General features: G+C 48.4%; 1 protein-coding gene and 1 non-coding gene across 10 annotated transcripts in view, besides 2 other annotated features; both read left to right on the top strand.

The window, feature by feature from the left end:
* P4HA2 (prolyl 4-hydroxylase subunit alpha 2) overlaps nucleotides 1-20,588 on the top strand; it is a 37,707-nt gene that overhangs the window by 2,170 nt on the left and 14,949 nt on the right. For 8 of the 9 annotated variants that reach the window (NM_001365677.2, NM_001017974.2, NM_001142599.2 and 5 more), the window contains 7 exons: nucleotides 7,040-7,139; nucleotides 7,836-7,932; nucleotides 8,336-8,487; nucleotides 11,631-11,768; nucleotides 15,161-15,400; nucleotides 16,353-16,546; nucleotides 17,800-17,976. In NM_001365677.2, coding sequence (NP_001352606.1) covers nucleotides 7,058-7,139; nucleotides 7,836-7,932; nucleotides 8,336-8,487; nucleotides 11,631-11,768; nucleotides 15,161-15,400; nucleotides 16,353-16,546; nucleotides 17,800-17,976 — 1,080 coding nt within the window. In that variant the 5' untranslated portion in view covers nucleotides 7,040-7,057. The remainder of the gene's footprint in view (nucleotides 1-7,039; nucleotides 7,140-7,835; nucleotides 7,933-8,335; nucleotides 8,488-11,630; nucleotides 11,769-15,160; nucleotides 15,401-16,352; nucleotides 16,547-17,799; nucleotides 17,977-20,588) is intronic. The other variant, NM_001365681.2, reaches the window with a different exon arrangement.
* MIR6830 (microRNA 6830) lies at nucleotides 7,766-7,835 on the top strand. The gene has a single exon (NR_106888.1). It is a non-coding gene; the product is annotated as a microRNA 6830 (primary transcript).
* Nucleotides 17,239-17,738: an enhancer, noted in NCBI's record as "H3K4me1 hESC enhancer chr5:131543639-131544138 (GRCh37/hg19 assembly coordinates)". NCBI's record gives its function as "activates a minimal SCP1, AML or CMV promoter by ChIP-STARR-seq in naive H9 embryonic stem cells {active_cell/tissue: H9 hESC(naive)}" and the evidence as "EXISTENCE:reporter gene assay evidence [ECO:0000049][PMID:30033119]".
* Nucleotides 17,739-18,240: an enhancer, noted in NCBI's record as "H3K4me1 hESC enhancer chr5:131543137-131543638 (GRCh37/hg19 assembly coordinates)". NCBI's record gives its function as "activates a minimal SCP1, AML or CMV promoter by ChIP-STARR-seq in naive H9 embryonic stem cells {active_cell/tissue: H9 hESC(naive)}" and the evidence as "EXISTENCE:reporter gene assay evidence [ECO:0000049][PMID:30033119]".

Raw genomic sequence — 20,588 nt, 5'->3', positions numbered from 1 at the left:
TTCTGACTGGAGCGTGCCTGGGGCTAGAATGAGGGACGAGAGAGAGGAGGTGGCCGAGGCACTATTCTTGCCTGTGGGTAGCTCGTACTCTGAGATTGCTGCTTCATATTGGCAGCTGGCCATGTGCCAGGGGAGGAGCCCGGCTGTGAGTGCTCATCAAAGGAAGAGACTACGTGGGTGCAGCTCTGAGGAATGAGTCGGTTGAGGGAATCTAGGGTCTCCTCATTTCCTAAGAAGGCCTCCCTTTTTCACTCTGCCCTCCCACATCCTTGGGAGGGTCTGAGACTGGAAGCAAGGCCTTGGCTGATGTGTGGCCACGCTGGCTGATAGTGTGCAGAGGGCTAGGAGGTGTGTCCCTGGCTCCTGGGGTCTGTCAAGAGTTTACTATTATGCAGATGGAAGTTGGCAGGAAAAGCTGTGATGCAAGTACATGCAAGCCCAGCAGAGTGCTGGAGTGAGAGTTAAACTTCGGGAAAGTTGCTCACATCTAGCAATTTGGACATTTGAAGTTCCTTAGGGTAAGACATCAGCCTGTCCTAGAGCAAAGAGGGCTGGAAGGTCCTGTGGTCTGTGGGCTTTGTGTTACGGACATGGAATGAGAGATAGAAAGACAGTTTTTTTTTTTTTTTTTTTTCCTCAGAGCAGAGGAGAATGAAAAGTCTGGATGATTTACTGGAGCCCTAGAAGAGAGTTCTTGTTCAGCTGGTGTCATTGCAGGGCAGAGGATTAAGTGTTTGGGTAGAGTGCTCTCCAGCTCAGATGGAATCTATCTGAGCCTGGTAACAGGCCAGCATCTGCTCTGGACCTTTCAGGAAGTGCTTGCTTAGAGTGTGGCCTGTTTTGTACCTGGCACTCTGAGGGCCAGGGTGTAGTGGAGATCCTCAGGCCTGGGTACTTGTAGGAGCCTGGAATGAGCAGGTCAGAGGCATATAAGTACATGAGTTCCTAGAGTATTGGTCCAATCCCCCGCCTTTTGCTAGAGAACATTGCTTGATGAGCTTTAGAGCCAGTGATTGACCAGTTCCAGGGTTATCCCCTGATGATCAATGTACTACATTATACCTGATTCCAGTCTCTCCTGAATTAAATGTTTCATTTCTTGTGGTGCTCCTGGAACATGGAGATCGCCCAATTTCTGCCTTGTTTGCATCTTCACTGTTCCCTAGTCTGGACCTTCTTTCTCACCCAGGAATCAGCTGACTTGGGCTGGGCAGCTGGCTGCCTCAGGTCCACTGATGTTTCTCTGGTGCCCTTGGTACTAATGATTGACATAAATTATGCCTAGTGCAGGGCTACCTGCCAACATCTGTCATCACATTCAGTCCTCCAACAGCCCTATGAGATATAGGTCCTAGTATTGTCTCTATTATATACATGGGGAAACTGAGGAATCCTATAACTTGTCCAAGGTCACAAAGCCGGGAAGTGGTATAGAATTGGGGTTTAACTCTTAGTATGTCTGACCCTAGGGCAGGTGTGCCTGTCCATTTGACTGTACTGCCTTGCCCTGAGCTGGACTGGCTGGTTATTTGTGAGTGCTGTCATGTCTAAGGTAGGAGTGACTGCCCATCTGAACTTAAGGGACCATGTTGCTGTTTTCTGGGTCCATGTTGCGTTCCTCCCTCTGGTGAGATCCAGCCAGGCGTGTCATGGACCTGCTTTATGAACCTTTGGTGTAACCCATGATAAAGTCCTTAACCTGGGCAGGCATGTTCTTCCTGGGCAAAGTGTGGCTTCCCTGTTTGGGAGTCCATTGCACTTTAAGGTAACAGATTATTGAGTAGGACTGGATAGCTGCAATATCTAGCAGAGTGTGTTTTGGGTTTGACTCTTGGTTCTGTCATTGATTTGCTGTCAGATGTCAGATATGTAGGAAACCTTCTCTCAGCCTCAGCTGTTTGTCATTTGTATCTATCTTATATCTGAAATGGAGGTAGTTATCTAGCTTAGAAGGTTTGGGTGAGAATTAGATAGTAGAAATGAAAGATTTTTGGAAACAAATAGTGCTTATCTCAGACTATGTTCCCAGGAAACAGCCTGAGACAGAGCTTAAGTACTTAATGCTTTATTGGAAGGTGTAATTGCAGGGCAGCCAGGGTGAGGGAAAACAAAAGTGAGGTGCAGGCCTGTGCGATGGCTCATGCCTATAATCCCAGCACTTTGGGAGGTCGAGATGGATGGATTGCCTGAGGTCAGGAGTTTAAGACCAGCTGGCCAATATGGTGAAACCCCATCTCTACTAAAAATACAAAAATTAGCTGGGCATGGTGGCACACACCTGTAGTCCAAGCTACTCAGGAGGCTGAGGCAGGAGAATCCCTTGAACCTGGGAAGTGGAGGTTGCATTGAGCCAATATTGTGCCACTGCACTCCAGCCTGGGCGACAGAGCGAGACTGTCTCAAAAAAACAAAAGAAAAAAGTGAGGTATAAAGGAGGATGGGAGGTGGTGTTTTAGCAAGCTGGCTACTCTGCACAGAGATGTACTTGGTTACCCTATGAGGGCCCTTTGGTAGCCACTGGGGAGGCCAGTCTGGTACTTCAACAGAGTCTGGAGATAGTGAGAGGAGCCAGAGATTCTGGCGTGGGCCTGGATAGTCTCCTCCACTGGGCTGAGGCAAAGTAAATACCCTGGGACCTGGGAGATGGGTGAGACCAAGAGGTTGCAAGGTGGGACGTAAGATGCATCCAATATAGTGGTATATGGATTTTATCCTCAAGTGTAGTTCCCTTTTGTGGGTTAGTCTCATCCAGACTGCCAAGTCTCTGCCAAGACTATGACTGAAAACCCAACTTGGCTTTTGCATGTCAGTTTTAACAGCCTTCTCTGCTACTTCATTGTCTAGTTACTGAAGCAAGACTTTGTGGTGGTGATGGTACCCAGGTGGGGAAGTGGAAGTCAACCACTATTCATGTACCAGACTGAGAAAGTATGTGGATAGATACAGATAAACATCTTGGCTTTATTAGGTTCTTCGTGAAGGAGAATATTTTTTCACATAAAGTAGTTGTTGAAGATACGAAACCTGGCATGGTGAGATGAGGCTAGAGAGGGCAGTAGGGCCTGGTCACACACTCAAAAGGACCCTTTGGGCTAAAGAGTTTGAACTTTATCTTGACGGCAGTAGAGAGCCAAAGGAGGGCTTTGATAAACCATGCTGGCTACTTTGTAGAGCAGAGGTGGGAGGAAGGCCAGATGACATGTGGAGAGGCCAGTGTAGTGGGGGCCAGGATGCCTGTAGGGGAAGTTAGGGGTGGCTCAGATCAGGGTGATGACTGAGGCTAAGGAGAGTAGGGTACCCCCCATACTTGCCTAGGGTGCCGTGGCAGCAGCTTATAGGCCTGAATGGACATCCATGTGCTTTGGTGGCAGGGTCTCCTGGAGCCTCTGGATCCTCTTAGGCTGAACACACAGGTCCTTTCAGCCCTGTTATCCTAGAGTTGGAGGCAGCGGGGAGCCGTGTCCAGTTAGGTTTTCCCCCTTCACAGAAGGCAGGCAGGTTCTTGTTCAGTGCCAAGCAAGACCAGTTTGTTCTCAGCAAGCTCATGTTCTGTCTCTAGGCTGTTAAATACATTGTTAAAACTCAGGCTGTTGCATTTGGGTTGCAGCTGGGAGCTTGGCAGAGATTCTGCCTGATGAGGTAAGGAGAGAAGCTAAGGACGCTGCTGGTTTGCAGCTGGAAACATCTTTTCATGGCCATTTGGCCAGATTGTAAATGTCTTTTCCAAAGTTCAGGTTTGGTGGGACCTCTGGTTGTATGTCTTGGAATTGCCCTGTGTTTAGAAACAGTGCCAGTCGCCTGATGGGTGAATCACTGTTGCTGGGATGTTGGCAGGTTTTGCAGGACTTTCCTGTGGGGGTCCAAACACTAGGGCTGGCAGGGCCCGTTTGGAGTCTGTTTGAGAAGGGCCTGCTTTGTTTTCTTTACATTTTAAGCATATGATAAAATAATTTTAAAAATTGCTATAGAATTTCTTGTAGAAAGATTAGAGAAACAAGCATAAAAATAAAAAGAAATTATTTCACCAAGATATAGCCAGATGTATGACTCTTTTCTTGCATCTCTCTATATACACATATACATTAATTTTTCCTTACAAAAATGGAATTATAGAGTGCATATTATTGGGGCCCACTTTTCTCACTTAACAGTATGCTTAGATCTCTTCATGTTGATATATAGTATTCATTTTTAATATACTCCATAAAAACTCATTGTATAGAAGAAATGTAAAATCTTCTATTGTTGTAGTTTCCTAATTTGAACAAGTCTGTGGTGAAGTATTTTTTGTTGTGTTCCTGGTATGGGACAGACATTGTTCTAAACTCTGGGGATGCAGCACAGATAAAACTCAGTATTGGTTTTCTGCTCAAGATGTCACTTTGTTTTTCATAAAAGTGGGTTTGACATTGTTCACCTCCAGACTTATTCCAGTTGGATTCTGAGGGTTTCTGGGAGGGCTTTTAGCAGCACTGGACACTTTGTAGGGGCACTCAGCAGGTACACATACTTTCACCTACTCTGTCTTAAGCAAGCTGTGGGCATAGTTATGAGATGGGTTGGAGGTTGGCCTTTCCCACATTGTGGGGCACAGTCCCTCTCGGATGCTGCCTCCTCCCAATCTGACTCTAATTAGAGGACTTTTTGTACAGAGCCTTTTGAGTTAAGGGGCCCAGGCTTGGGAGAAATGGGGTAGGGCTCCAGAGTACCCCTGCCAGAGATGTCAGTGTTGATGTGGTAGTCTGGGAGCTGCTGCTTGGAGGTGCCCAGCTCTCCAGGCTAGCAGAGTTAGTTATCCCCTTCTCCCACCAGAGCAAGACTTTGCAGGCTCTTGGTAGGTAAGTCATCTGTAATTACCTGTGATTCTTTGAGGCTCTGCCCAAACCCCATCTGTGATTCTTTGAGGCTCTGCCCAAACCCTATCTGTGATTCTTTGAGGCTCTGCCTCCAGGCTGAGATTCAAGAATGGGCTCAGTCTAAGCCAGATCGCACATTCCAGAGAAATCACAGCTGGTATTCATGTAATGAAGAAACCTGGCTTTCCCTGAGTGTTGTGAGGTATGAACCGTAGATGATAGGAGCAGAATGATTTGAAAGGAATGGACAGACTTCCTCCCTGGAATTTATCTGGCCTCTAAAAAGGTATGCAACTGCAACTGGAGACACACCTGGGTAGAGATGCTGGGTTCCCCACTTCCAACCATGTCTGGTTTGGAACCTGCCTGGGCCCTGTTCTCCCACCACCCCAGCTCTGAGGAGCAGTCAGCTGGTCCCTTTCTGATCACAGATACATCCTCCCAGCTCTATGTTTTCACTGTCCCCTCCCTACATACATACAGAAGGTGCTGAGCCTGAGCCAGTCAAGCCTTTTGAGGAACAAGAAACAGACACCCAATCCCTTAGGTATAAGGGGCTTGTGTAAGCAAGAGAGAAGCCTTCTGAAATCCTGGGATAGAGAAGACAGTATAGTAAGGCCTTGGAGCAGACCTGTGGCTAGAACCAGGAGGGCCTGGACTCTGCCTCAGGGCAAGCCCAGGCTTACTCACTTTCTCTTGATGACTTGCTCTCTTCTGCTGCTCTAACTCCCTAATGGACCCCTTAGCACAATACGCCCTACCCTGCAGCAGGTTCCAGGTTGGAAGATAATTGTCCTGTGTGTCTTGGGACCCCCACACCTAGACTATGACAGGAAGACTGTCAGCTCTGCAGACATTTGGCATAGGCATGAACACATGGCGCCATTCACTTATGCTTTCCTTCTGATAGAGGATCCATTTGCAGATGGGAGTTGTGGTTGGCCTTCTCTGAGCCTAACCTGGAATCTCAATGGATTAGGATTTCTTCTGAAAGAGTAAGATGAGGAATGGTGGGTGTGCTGTGTGTCTAATCAAGTATGGCGGGCAAAAAACTGATGAACTGGCATTATCTTAGACTTAGAATTCTGTCAGATAAGGCTTATGTTTTTTTGGGAAAGCATTTGTATTTCCTTTGTTTTGCTTGCTTTGTCTTAGTGAATTTCCATTTGAGCACTCCAGTGGGGTGCTCAAAAGCAGGGCAGGAAGAAGACCGGCAGAGCTGGGGTACAGATGGGTGCTAATCCTCCAGCACAGTCTAGGCTGCATGGCTGAGCTGGGAGACGGTATCGGAGGCTTCTGTTGTGGACTGAGGTTTACTGCCAGTGGGGTTTGTCTCAGGTTGTGCCTATTTCTGGGCTGATGAGAAGACAGTAGCTGGCCCCTTTCCCATGTCAGCAGCCCAGCCTGAGGTTTTGGCCATGTGTGCCATATTCATTTTTGTATCCTGAGTGCCTAGATCAGTGCCTGGCATCTGCAGGTCTTCAGTAAATATTTGTGAATGAATGGTGACGGGCCAGTGAGAACAGTGTCTGCCAAGGAGCCTTACTACAGGAAGAACACTGTCTACCTAGGAGACTGTCTCCTCTGACTGCTCTTTCTCTGGCAGGTGCAGACTGACAAGGGTTAGTTTTATTCCTCTTCTGGCTGGCCATCTGTTGTACACCTTAGTTTGGGTGTTGGTACTCTGGAGGATATTGTGTCAAATTATCTTTCTGTTATTGTCTCTCATGTACTGTTGCCTCCTTGTGGGCAGGGACTGGTTCCCCAAAACCTGGCACTGTCCTGGCATATGTGTTGGAAGGTAAGATAGAAACAAACAGCAGTCTGTGAAATAAGAAGGAGTGGGCCAGAATCTTGGACTGACAGACCATTGGAACCCGAGCTGACTGTACCCCACTGCGATTCCGCCTTCTCATGGTACAGGTGGTTGCTGGGAGTTGAGAGGATGGGCTCTCTCCGCAGGGCACGTGACTTCCCAGAGCAGGGACCAGAATTGAGCACACATCACTGGCTGCACGCTCTTTGTTCTTTCTGCTGTTTGTCCTTTTTAGCTTCTGTGTGCTAGGCCAGGATTTTGATATGTTTGATTATCTGCATATGTGTGTACATGCCTATGTGTCTCCTCACCTAAATTAGTCTTTTTCACTTTGTTGATCCAGTGATTGTCATTGAATGCCTTTCAGACACTTCCCTCTGTGACCATGAAACTCTGGGTGTCTGCATTGCTGATGGCCTGGTTTGGTGTCCTGAGCTGTGTGCAGGCCGAATTCTTCACCTCTATTGGTACGTGCCAACAGGACTGTCGTCTCCCTGACACCTTGGCTCACATGCCACGGATGTCTCTGGCTGCAGCCTGTTCTCATTTAGAGTGGGATAGCCTTAACTACTGGTTTTGGCCAGTTCTGAGGAGAGTGGAACTGGCAGAGTTGCTGTTTTCCCCTATAAGATCCCAATGATCTGGATGTTCAGGGAGCCAGATGTCTGAATTGGGTCTTTCTTCCTGGGAAGTGCAGGCTGCACTTGGGCTCTCTGGTCTTTTTGACCACCTTGCCCATGGACCAGAGAGTGGTTCTGAGCAGCAAATCCTTTGTATCCTGAGGATCAAGCTTTTCCTATCCTTCCGACCTAAAGTTCAGAGCTTTTTATCCTGTGGTGAGCCCCCAGGATATCCATGCCCCAGTGTCATGACCAGCTATGTAACAGTCGGAGAATGAGATTTAGGGCTGCTTCTTGAGTGACATCCAGTGCACTTATCTCAAACATCCCCTTGGTGCCTCTGCCTCTTTCTTCCTGAAGTTGCGAGATAGAGCCCCATGAGTGCCTAGGCCCCCTTTAACTCCAAGTCCCCATAATCCTCAGAGAGCTGACATGTTCTTATCCCAGGGGACTTGCTTCTGTGCTGGTATTCTGTGCCCCAAGGAAGGAGGCTGGACATCCCTCATCTGTTTCTCACTGGTGTCTTTCTTCTCTCCCTTGCAGGGCACATGACTGACCTGATTTATGCAGAGAAAGAGCTGGTGCAGTCTCTGAAAGAGTACATCCTTGTGGAGGAAGCCAAGCTTTCCAAGATTAAGAGGTGTCCTAAGTCCCCAACCATCCTTAGTTGGCCTTCCTTCCCTTCTGCCCCTCAAGGAACAAGGAAGCCATCCAGGGTGCCTATAAGAGGAAACCTTTGAGAGGGTGATGTGGGGCTGGCCTGGTTACTTCATGCCAGTGCTTGAGAGGAGCTAAGTACATGGGCTAAGGAGTCACTGTTTATTTTCTATTTAAGACCTTTTCCCTTACATTGGGGGTCCCAGCTGTTATCTAGATTAAGGGGCTAGAAGTATCTGTGGGGAGTTACTGTATTCATTTTTCATTGCCTCTTGATGAAAAGGGCCCCAGAACCTGGCACCAGGGAATTCTCACTAGGAAAATTGTCACAGGTCAAGACCTATGTGGGTGGACGCATTAGTCTTCCTTTTCCTCTGGTTCCACAGCTGGGCCAACAAAATGGAAGCCTTGACTAGCAAGTCAGCTGCTGATGCTGAGGGCTACCTGGCTCACCCTGTGAATGCCTACAAACTGGTGAAGCGGCTAAACACAGACTGGCCTGCGCTGGAGGACCTTGTCCTGCAGGACTCAGCTGCAGGTGAGGGACGGTGAGCAGGTGCTTGAGTGAGCCCATATGTTTGTGTGCTCATGCCTGGGTTGTTGTGTCTGAGCCTGTCTTGGGTCTGGGTGTTGGTGGGCAAGTACATTGTGGAAACAGGACCCTGCTGGTCTCATGGCTCTCTCCCTTCTCTGTGGGGACCTGGAAGTTGGCTGGCCTTGGTTTTTAACATGTAATGATGTTCAGTTCTTTTTTTAGCGTCTTTTTTTTAGTGTCTGTCTTTTCTTATTTTTTGCTAATGACATTTTTCCAATTATACTTTAGTGATACATGTTTATAGAAAAGTCGGAAAACACAAAAACAAGAGAATTATAATTCTTAATCCAGTTGCCCAGTGGTGAGCATTATTAAAATTGTAGTTTTTCTACCTATGCATATACATTTAAAAAATGGAACTATACATACATACCAGGGCATGCAAACTCAGTTGCTTGGAGGGACAATGAATTTACAAGTGTCAAGTGGGCTGGATGGTGGGGCCAGGGCAAGTTGGGGAGCATAGGTCTGATCTAAATTCATTCCTATTCATATGTTTTACAAACAAAGCATATCTGTTGGTAGATTTGTGACAGAAGAAAAAATTCTGTGAATTTCTCAGCTTCTTTATATGCCATTCAATGTTCTTCTGCAACATGATTTTAATGGCTGGATGGTGATTACCTGTCAGATGGTGATAATCTGTCATACTGATAATACTGTCAAATGGGTCAAGTCATTGGATATGGGATTTTTTCTGAATTATCAGCACCTTTTTACATATTTCTTGGTGTATACTTCTGATTACTTTTTTAGGGTAAGTTCCTAGAAGTGATATTACCGATGAGAGTGTGAACTTTTTAAAAGCTTTAAACTATACTTGGTGCTTTTATTGTGATAATACTTTTTATGCCCTAATACTTTTCTGTCAATAAGAAGAGATGGTACGGTGGGCCTGGAGGTGGGCTCTCCTAACTCCTAGCCCTGGGTTTAGTCCCCTGGACTCACTGACTTTTTTTTTTTTTTTTTTTTTTTTTGAGACTGAGTCTCACTCTGTCACCAGGCTGGAGTGTAGTGGCGGGATCTCGGCTCACTGCAACCTCTGCCTCCGGGTTCAAGCAATTCTTCTGCCTCAGCCTCCTGACTAGCTGGGACTATAGGCACATGCCACCATGCCCAGCTAATTTTTTTTTGGTATTTTTAGTAGAGACAGGGTTTCACCATGTTGGCTAGGATGTTCTTGATCTCTTGACCTCGTGATCCACCCATCTCCACCTCCCAAAGTGCTGGGATTACAGGTGTGAGCCACCATGCCCGCTGCCTTTTTTTTTTTTTTTTTTTTTTTTTTTAAAGGGACAGGGTCTCACTATATTAGCCTAGACTGGAGTGCAGTGGCTATTCACAGGTGCGATTGTAGCACACTGCAACCTTGGACTCCTGGCCTCACGTGATCCTCCTGCCTCAGCCTCCTGAGTAGCTGGGACTATAGGCACAGTGCCATTGTACCCAGCTCTTCACTGCCTCTTTTCCCTGAGCTGTGAGTGCTGATTAACTTCAGACTAGCTGTCTCTCTGGCTGAGACATTTTAGCCCATGTGGCCAGACTGGGTTGGGCCTGGGGGCAGGGTGGCCTCTGGAGAGGGATTGGTGAGCTCAGCCAGGCTGGAGCTGTGCCCAGTGAGCTCACTGCCTCCAGAAACCACGGCTGCCTTTCCCAGACTCCCGCCTCTCCGCCTGGGCCTGCAGCTCGGGACAGGCTGTTCTGCCTGCACGGCAGGAGACTAAGCCTACCCAGATGACCTCCTCTCTCCAATCTTGTTCTCCACACCCTACACTCCCACCATCATCTGGTTCCTTTGGAAAACCTTATGATTACCTGGAAGGAGATAGGGCAGGCCCAGAGAATAATTGGTTGTTTTCATCTCTGACTTTGAGTTCTTGCCCCTGAAACGAGCAGGGCATGCTGACAGTGTGGCTTTTCCTGGCAGCATGTTCCCCTACTCCCACCCCACCAGATTCTAAACTCTTTAGAGTCCCTGACCATGTAGCTATGAAGACAAGGAAGGCAGGGTTACAGCTTCTTGGTCCCTGTCCCCAGTTATGGCTGAAGTGGATGTTTAGGTCTGAAGTCATAGGTGGCAGTGGATACAGCTACTCTTGGGAAGAGGTTGGGGAAGGAATGGCCTTGTTGTTCCCCTCTCACTTCTCAGCTTAGAGGCAGAATTGAAGGCCCTAAGTCAGCCTGGGAAGGCTTGGCTCCCACCTGGGATTGTAGGAGGTACACATCTTACTTTACAGCTAGGGCTTGGAGTCCCAGAAAAGCCTCCTTGGAGTACTTCTGTGGTCAAAAGCTCTCCCACGCTTCAGGCTGTGGTCTTGAGCACCATAACTGGAGAGCCCATGCCCTGAACTCATTGAAGGTCTGAGTGGTGGGAGTACAGAGGAGAACAGGCCCACCGTGGTCTCTTAGGGGACGGACCTTGCTGGGTTGGTGCAACCCCACCTTGGTCCTTGGCCTGTCTAGGTGGTCCTTCAGCTGTCAACCTAGGGGGAGGGGGATGACTTCCAGGACTTTCATCATCACCTTTCTGGATGATAAGTGCCAGTGGTCAGTAATGAGTGGCCAGCTCGGCTTCATTAGTTAACTGTCATTGTCCCTTGGACTCCTCAACTTGAAATGTGTGCTGGAAGTCTGTGTTTACCTGACTAGCCCAATTACCCTGGATCAAGGTTTTCCATGGGATTTATTTTCCACTGAGTGGTTGACAGTTCTTCCTGAGTCCTCTCCCGTGCTCTTCTCAGTTACCCTCTCTATCCTCTGTTTCTTCTGTCTCCACCAGCTCTGACTGAATGATTTGGAGCCAAGACTTCTGGACTCCTAAATATTAACCAATATGGGGGGCTGCTTCTACTTAGTTCCAAAGAGCAACACAGGCAGTAGGTATGGTGAGGAGTAAGAAAGGAAAAGTCCCCATAGACTGGAGTCATCAGGGACAACTTCCTGGTGGAAGGGGGCAACAGCCTTTGAGGGAGGGGGCGGGGAAATTTCACTAGCCAGAGACCCTCTTTGTGGCTGCCTCTCTGGTCCCAAGTGGAATTCTGCCCCTGGATCAAGGGTAATCTCTTGTTCTGACTCTCATTTGGAAGGTTTTATCGCCAACCTCTCTGTGCAGCGGCAGTTCTTCCCCACTGATGAGGACGAGATAGGAGCTGCCAAAGCCCTGATGAGACTTCAGGACACATACAGGCTGGACCCAGGCACAATTTCCAGAGGGGAACTTCCAGGTAACTCACCACTCCAGGCGTTGCCTGTCCCGCATGTGTCTCTTTAGTGGCGGGACAGGTTGGAGCCACCACCAACTTGTGGCCTTTAACCTCGGGTGCACCTCTGGTGCACCTCTTGGCTCACCAGTTTGTGCTGGACTCCCTCTCCCATGACAGGTTTCTCCCTCAGCCCCTGCCCTGCCACCTCCCTCCATGTATTAGCCAAGGCCCTCTCCTCTTGCATCTCAGAGAAAGCCAAAGTTGCTGCTCAGGAACCCCCTCCACGTCTGTCCCCAGAGCACCACACAGATCTGCATTCAGACCTGCTTCTTGTCTCCCACCCTCCAATGTCTTTTCATCTAAGGCTGATCTGGGCTTACTATCCCCCTGTCTTGAGTCCTCTTAGTTACAGTCTCTGCTCCTATACATTCTGTCTCCACCTCTCTGGGTTCTACCCTTGAGCTCCCATATAGGCTCTATTCTTGCTCATCTTAACACTTGCCTCCCTCGGTATCTGAGAGTCTTTCGAGTCTTTGCTGCTGATTCATCTCTTCTCCCCTCCTGGTTAGGCTACTGGATAGAGTAATCTACACTCTGTCCATTTTCCTGGTTCCCATATACTCCTGAACTCACAGTATCTGGCCTTTTTCCCCACTGTCACTGATGCTGTTCTTACAAGGTCATCAGTGGCCGCTTGGCTGGTAAACCCAGCGAACAAGGTTCACACATAATGTTCTTTAACTTCCCAGCAGCATTTGACAGATAGATTGCCTCATTCTTTGTGATGTTCTCTCCTCCTTTGAATTCTGGCATACTGATATCTGCTTCTCTTTTAGCCTCTCTGGTCATTTTCTCTCAAGTGGCCCCTCTCCCACTGACTTCCCAGTGTTAGTGTTTATAAGAAGATGTTTTGAGGGCTGCTGGAGACAAGTAACCCCAGCGATTCACTGTGTGAGGCTCATGCAGACCCAGCTTATTCCAGCTCCAGAACCTCAGCTGCCCCCTTTAGACTCCATTAGAGAGAGGGCAGTTCAGGGCACCTGCAAGATCTGTTCACTCTGTAGCCTTGAGATTGGTTGCTTGGAGGAGGGAACCATACCCTGGCGTTGACCTCTCACGTTCACTCAGCAAACCCATGAGTGTCCTGAATAGGGTTATGGGGCAGAAAGGAATTACTCCCTAGGACTCCATCCTTACCTCATCTTCTCCCTGAGCACCTTCCCCAGGTGAGCACAGCCATTTCCATCACCTGAGGTGGATGACATCCAGATCTGTGTTTCTTGCCAAGGCTTGTCTCCCGAGCTTCTAACCAGTGTAGACGGATGCCTTTGGGACATCTGTACTTGAATGTCCCATGGACTTCTCGAACTTCATGTGTCCTGAACTGAAATCCTCATCTCCTTGTAAACACTTTACCTTCCCCCTCATCCTTCTATCTCAGCAAAAAGGACCTCCATCCTCTGGCTGCCTAAGCCAGAAGCCTAAGGCCTATGGATTCTACCTCCTTCTCTCATGTCTTCCGTGCTTATCCCCTGACTCCAGCCTCACAGCTACTTTTTTCTCAATTTGATTATCAAAATACCATTCTGACTTGTCTCCTACCTCCAGCTTACTGCTTAAGACCATCCTCCATGTGGTCTTAAGCACACATTTGTTCACATGAGTTCCTGATTACTGTGCTTAATTTCCAAAGCTAAACCCAAACTCCTCCTGTGTGTGGTCTTTGGGGTCCTGCATGACTCCATTTTCCTGGCTTCCTTGCCCATTGTACTCAGCTTTCCCTATCACTCAGCTCTTTTGTCTCAACCCCTCTATAGGAATACCTTTACCCATGTCAGCTAGGCTACTCCATGTCTGATTGCCTATCAGCACTCAGCTCAGCTGTCACTCTCCCAAATGCTCTCCAGGGAGTAGACATTCGAGTTGGCTCTGGGGAGGATGCTGAGTGCCAGGGAGCCATTCTTAGCATTCTTGGCATCTGGGAGACATGTTGATAATAGCTACTGGTCATTAGCATCCTGGGGAGCATAGGAGACATCTTCATATGTCATCTTATTGAATTCTTGCCACAAGCTCTTTAAAATTGATGATATTATCTTTATTTAGAGATAAGGGGACTGAGACTTAGATATGGTAACTTGTCTATAGTCACACAGCTGGTTGGCGCCCTAGTGAGGCCAACACAAACCTAGTTTAGTTCAGCTCCAGAGCCCCAGCTCAGTCAGCTATGTTACTCTGCCCCAGCAATGTAGGTTCCTGGGCCTGCAGAGCCAGAGGAGACCTGTGGAGAAGGAAAAGGGGCTCCAGGAGCCCCCCAGTCCCTGGCCTACCTAGGGACTTCATCTTGTGTTTACTGTCCCCAACTTCCTATTCCTCGTTATTGGTTCCTGAGCCACCGGGGTTAGCAGACCCTGGTCTCTGAAGCATTTAGCCTACTGTGTAGTGGTTTCATTCCAGGCAGAAAGAGCCTTCTCTGAGTTCTTTTGTGTCAGCCATGCCCAGGTTGCTGTTAATGGGGCTGTGGGGAGTCTTCCTTGCTTTCCAGGGAGAGTCACAGCCCCCACTTCCCCTCCATGGTATCTGCTTTCTCATTATTCTCTGAGGAACCACACACATAGTCTTTCCCATCTTGAGCTCACCCTAAATCCTGCATCTCCCTATAGCTGCTTCTTCATATTGGCTTGAAACTATCTTCATGGTCACTTTCCAGCACTCCCTCTACAGCAGATGACCTTTGGTCATAAGACCCACTGAACTGATACTCAGCAAGGTCCCTGCCACTTAACAGCCAAAGCTGGCACTGCAACCTTGGCTCTTGGCCTCCCTTGGTGTCTCTCACACCACTCCCGCTCCCTCTGTTTCTCCTATCTTTAGTTCATTCTCAGGGTTATTCATTGTCTGTTCTTTCTGGGTAGGTGCTCCCTGGAGCTCTGGCCTTAGTCATCTTCTCCATTCTTTCCTCAGAGTTCCTGCAAGCTATTTTCCTCACCCATGGCTTGGTTGCCACCTAAATTTATGTTTTTTATATTCAGCTAATTTTTCCATCCTCTAGACTCATATGGCAAACTGCCCACCAGACATCTTCTTCTCTGTGGTCCACAGGACCTTCCCACTGTCCTCAACAATGCTTCCTGGTGGGTTTCTGGGGCTCCCCCTAAAAAGGCCCCTTCCCACTTGGGAGATGGGGAATCTGAGGCTAAGAGGTGGCTGTGAACCCCAGTCCAGGGCAGGGCTGGGCCATCTGTCTGTGCTCACTGTGTCAGTGGCCCTTTAGGATATGCAGTCTAAATGTCCGATGGAGTTCTGCTTGGTGATGCCCCCTATCCAGTGGCTCAGGCTTTCCTTGAAGTGGGAATCTCTTTCCCTAATCCAGAGGCTCTTTGGAGCCTGACAATTTACTTCCCCTGCTGTAGGAACCAAGTACCAGGCAATGCTGAGTGTGGATGACTGCTTTGGGATGGGCCGCTCGGCCTACAATGAAGGGGACTATTATCATACGGTGTTGTGGATGGAGCAGGTGCTAAAGCAGCTTGATGCCGGGGAGGAGGCCACCACAACCAAGTCACAGGTGCTGGACTACCTCAGCTATGCTGTCTTCCAGTTGGGTGATCTGCACCGTGCCCTGGAGCTCACCCGCCGCCTGCTCTCCCTTGGTAAGGAGATTCTAGGGGAAGGTAAGATGGGAATGGAGAGTGGCAGAGGAACTGCACTGTGCTGGCATCTGCCTGACCCCTCTCCTGGGACTGAGTCAGTTTACCCTGTCACTTGGCCAGTGACTAATGCCTTACTGACTTTAGGACCAGTCCAGCTTCTTACTAGCTCCTTACCCACCTCAATCCTGGCCTTAGGTTTGCGCAGTCGCTGATAGATACGCTCAGGCCTGTGGCACTTGTGGGCCTTTTTAATAAGGACTCTGTTATGGTGTATCTGTCACCATGCAGGACTACACAGGGTGGAACCTTTACTACATCAGGAGCAGCTCAGGAGTCAGGTTGTACTTTAGGATTGTTACAGTGACAAACAGTAGCGGTGCTATTAGAGGCCTGAGGTCTAATAGTAGGACTTCATATGGCATTGATACTTTGTGTGCCTTGTGCTGTTGGACTGAAGAAGGCCAAAAGCACTGTGCCTTTAAAACTCATCTACCTTTTTTTTTTTTTTTTTTTGAGACAGAGTCTCACTCATCCAGCCTGGAGAGCAGTGGCACGATCTCAGCTCACTGTAACCTCCGCCTCCCGGGTTGATGAGATTTTCCTGCCTCAGCCTCCCAGGTGGCTGGGATTACAGAGGCACATGCCCCATGTTGTATTTTCTTTAGTAGAGATGAGGTTTTACCATGTTGGTCAGGCTGGTCTCGAACTCGTGACCTCACGTGATCCACCCGCCTCGGCCTCCCAAAGTGCTGGGATTGCAGGTATGAGCCACCGCACCTGGCCTCTGTTGGTTTTCCAGTTACGACCAGCGTACTCTGGTTAGATGCTGTGGAAGGTAGAATGCAGCATGCAGGTGAGCTGCTGGGAGAGAAACCCTTACAGAATAATTTCTCTAAATGACCTAACAGATGTTTGTGGTTTCCTTTTCCTTCTCATTCCTTGCATTTTCTAGACCCAAGCCACGAACGAGCTGGAGGGAATCTGCGGTACTTTGAGCAGTTATTGGAGGAAGAGAGAGAAAAAACGTTAACAAATCAGACAGAAGCTGAGCTAGCAACCCCAGAAGGCATCTATGAGAGGCCTGTGGACTACCTGCCTGAGAGGGATGTTTACGAGAGCCTCTGTCGTGGGGAGGGTGTCAAACTGGTGAGATGTGTGAGGGGGCTAGGGTGCCAAAGCTGTGGACCTGGACTCTGGCTCTGGGCAGGCAGATTTGGGGAAGGTGTTCTTTATTCTGTAGGTACTTTTCTCAGTATATCCCCCAGTTTTTCATGGCATCTCCTGAGGCTGACATGTGGATATTCTCTGAGGTGTAGGAAAGGAGACTCTCTCCCCTCGTGCCCCAGGTAGAGTGTTGCTCCTCTAAGTTACCAGTGAGCTCGCCTCCTTACCCCAATATGTCCCACTTTTTGCTTCACTCACTGTTGGGAAGAAAACAATGGGTGGACGTACCTCAGGCCCCAAAAGAAGTCATGGTATAAGTGGAGAGTAAGTCTCTGTGGTAAAGACACCAGCGTGTACTAGAGCTTGGTATCGAGCCTTTGAGAGCCCTGGGATCCTAGTGCTTCCTGAGGAGGCCCAGGTGTGACAGGCTCTGAGCCTTTTCCATGCCCCTGTCTGCATGGCTTCTACTGGCTCCTCCACCAAGAAAGGTTTCTCCCCTGTCCCAGCCCTTCAGACCTACTCAAGTCTTCACGAAAAGGGTCAGGAATTACTTTCTGCCATGGGACTTGAGGATGTGAGGTGATTTTGGGAGAGAAGAAAAATTGCATGATTTGTGGGGTGTTATTTCATGCCAGTTAAGCTGAAGGGGCTCTCCTCTCCTCTCCCCTCCCCCCATTCCCCCCTCTCCTCCCCTCCCCCCCTCCCCTCCCCCTCCCCTCCCCCTCCCCTCCCCCTTCTCCTCCTCTCTCCTCCCCTCCCTCCCTCCCTTCCTTTCTTCCTTCCTTTTTCTTCTCTTTTTCCTGTTTCCTCTTTTTCCTTTTCTTTTCTTTCTTTCGTCTCACCCTGTCGCCCAGGCTGGTGTGCAGTGGTATAATCATAGCTCACTGCAGCTTTGACCTCCCAGCCTTGAGCAATCCTCCTGCCTCAGTCTCCTGAGTAGCTGGGACTACAGGTATGCACCATCATGCCTGGCTAATTTTTTAGAGACAGGTCTATGTCATCTAGGCTGGTCCCAAACTCCTGGTCTCAAGCTATCCTTTGGCCCCCCAGAGTTCTCGGATTACAGGCATGAGCCACTGTGCATGCCCACCTGCTGGGACTTTTGTTTTCTTCTGTGGTGTGGTGGGAGGGAGCAGCTGCTGGCCATGAGGTGAGTCCAGTGTCTGCAGACAGCCAGACTGGGACCGAGGATTAGGACTCACTCAGCTCAGGGCCTGTTACTCTGTGCTTTCCAGACACCCCGTAGACAGAAGAGGCTTTTCTGTAGGTACCACCATGGCAACAGGGCCCCACAGCTGCTCATTGCCCCCTTCAAAGAGGAGGACGAGTGGGACAGCCCGCACATCGTCAGGTACTACGATGTCATGTCTGATGAGGAAATCGAGAGGATCAAGGAGATCGCAAAACCTAAAGTAGGTGTCACTGTAGGTCCTTCTCGGGTCACTGAAGGGGGAAGGTCCTTTTTCTCATCCCTAGCACTATGGGTGGTTGGTTTGCCCATCTAGCCACCCTTTATCCATATCTAGCATGGGCCTACCGTGGGGATACAGAGATGCTTCAGACTCAGCCTGACCTTGTGAGTTCATGGTCCAGTGGAAGAAGAACAGGGTAACCAATGTGGACAGCCAAGTGCTATCATAGAAGGTCACGCTGGGAACAGGGCAGGTCTACACTGGTGTGTCAGTTCACCTGGTTGGGAGACTGGTGCGTGGGTGAGTTTTTTGGAAATGTTCCATAGGATGCTATGAAGCTGGGTCCTGTGGAGCTCCTGATTAGGACTGTAAATGAGGTGAATGACTTAGAGGAGAATGTATATCTTTATAATATTGGGTCTTCTCATCCAAGGGCATGACAGGTCTCTCCATATCTTTTTAAGTTTTCTTCATATAAGCCTTGAACATTTCTTAAGTTTATTCCTTGGTAGTTTCTTTGTTACTGTTAATTTACTTTATTTCTTCATTATTATTTTTAACTGGTTACATTATTTTATTAGTTTACTATTATATGCCAAACTATTGATTTTACAAATACATTTCATAGTAAGAGCTAATGTTTACTGAATTCTTAACTGTGGCAGGAACTTCTAAGTGCTTAACATATATATTAAGTGTTATGTCACAGTTATGAACAGCTGCTCATAATGATGTCACTGTCTCTGTTTTACCTATGAAAAAGCAAACTCATACAGATTGCAGCTAGTGGTTGAATTTACTTATTTCTTTTTTGGTTTTTAGCTGATTTCTCTTTGGTTGCCTGGATAGCATTAACACCTGGAAATAAGGAAAATTTTATTTTCTCCTGATACTTGTAGTTCCTTTGTTTTTATAACCTTATTGAATTGCCCAGAACTTCTAGAGCATAATTACGTAGAATAGGCATCCTTGTCTCATTCCTGAATTTCCTGGAAATTCCTATGGTATTTTACTGCTAAGAATGCAGTTGGCTGTTGGTTTTGTATATATGCCATGTTTTAAAATTATTCTTCTGTTTCTAGTTCATAAAAGATTTGTTCCCCATTTGACATCTTTCAAAGAGACCTATTTGCTGCCATATCCCATCACTGATGATTGGGAGGGAGGATTTAGCTCGATTCTCTATTGCTCTGCTCCTAATAGAATTGTAGGGGCCGAGGTGACCAGGAGGCCCGACACTCATGGAGAGACCTGAAATAGGTTCCTATCCTGGCCCCTGGACCTCATCTTGGAACAGCTTTGGCTTGAGGTACTAGGACATCTAGGGCTTTGAGTCAGTGGTTGGCATCATCGATGTGGCTGAGGAAGGGGGCTAGCCAGATATATGGAGAATGGGGACTAGGACTCCCCTTTCTACTCAGCTCCAGAGTCCTCCAGGAAAGAAAACTACTTTGTTGGTTGTGCCAGGATTTCCTGAGAGATTTCTTACCCGTTCTTCAGTTCCAGACACTGAGAACATTTCTCTGTGCATGTGTGCATATGTGTACACATGTGTGTGGCTGGCCAGAGGGTAGTGTTAGGAAAAGATATATTTGAATAGAAGCCATGCAAAGAGCCAAACAAGGTTGGCAAACATGTTTGGCTCTTAACATGGCTTCTATTCAAAGATAAGCTGACCCCTCCTTTCCGGAGACTGTGAGGGACAGATGCTATTCTGGCTTTGAAGTAGAGCCAATGAGCTTAACTTGGCCTGTGGGGAATGCCTGGCAGCTGTCTGTGGGGTCTCTGGCCTGCTTTCAAAATAGCCCTGTGCTTCCCCTGGGGCAGAGCACAGCTGCTCAGAGCCTCTTTGTGGGTGTCAGGCCAATGCTGAGGCACAGATGTTTGGATGGGGTCTGGCTGTGGCTGCAGTTTTCAGGGAGGGACTGACATGAGCTGAAGCTCAGGAAGGGCCATGAGTAGGAGCTTGGGAGCCGTCTGTCCTGCTTGTGCTGGCCATCTTACCAGATCATGCCATAGCAGCACAGTGTCCAAGTTGGTCCATCTCACCCCCTTACTAGCCTTCTGGTCCATCTACTCCTCTCCATCCCTTCTGCCACCACCTGGCCCGGGCCACCATCATCTCTTGCCCTGACCTCTGTCGTGGCCTCACTAGCCTCCCAGTCCCCACTCTGGCCCCTCATTAGTCAACTCTCCATGAGGTATTCACAGTGATCCATTTTACATTCACATTTTGAGTGTCCCTCCCCTGCATAAAGCCTTCCCCATTTCTCGTTGGCCACAAGGTTGCATCTAGTTCCTAGCCCCTGCTTGTCTCTTCAGCCTGTTCTCTCTTACTACTTCCCATAACCTTTAATCCACACCTACTGCAACACCCATTTTCATTCCCAGGCCTCTGGATTGCTGCTCTTTCCCTGTTCCTGTAATGTTCCTCTACTTGGATAACTCATGTTAACCCTTCAGGCCTCAGCTAGGTGGTCTCCTCCCCTAGGAAGCTATTCTTGACACTATACCCTGAGCTTCCACAGGATGGTAAGTTCACCCATGCTGTGCTGCAGTTACCTGACTGGTTTTCTGCTTTCCCCACTTGACTGAGTTGTAAGAGTGCAGGG

The sequence above is a fragment of the Homo sapiens genome, chromosome 5 (assembly GCF_000001405.40).
Source record: "Homo sapiens chromosome 5, GRCh38.p14 Primary Assembly".
Lineage (NCBI taxonomy): Eukaryota > Metazoa > Chordata > Mammalia > Primates > Hominidae > Homo > Homo sapiens.
The sequence above is the reverse complement of the archived record's forward strand: the minus strand, read 5'-3'. Positions and strand labels throughout refer to the sequence as shown.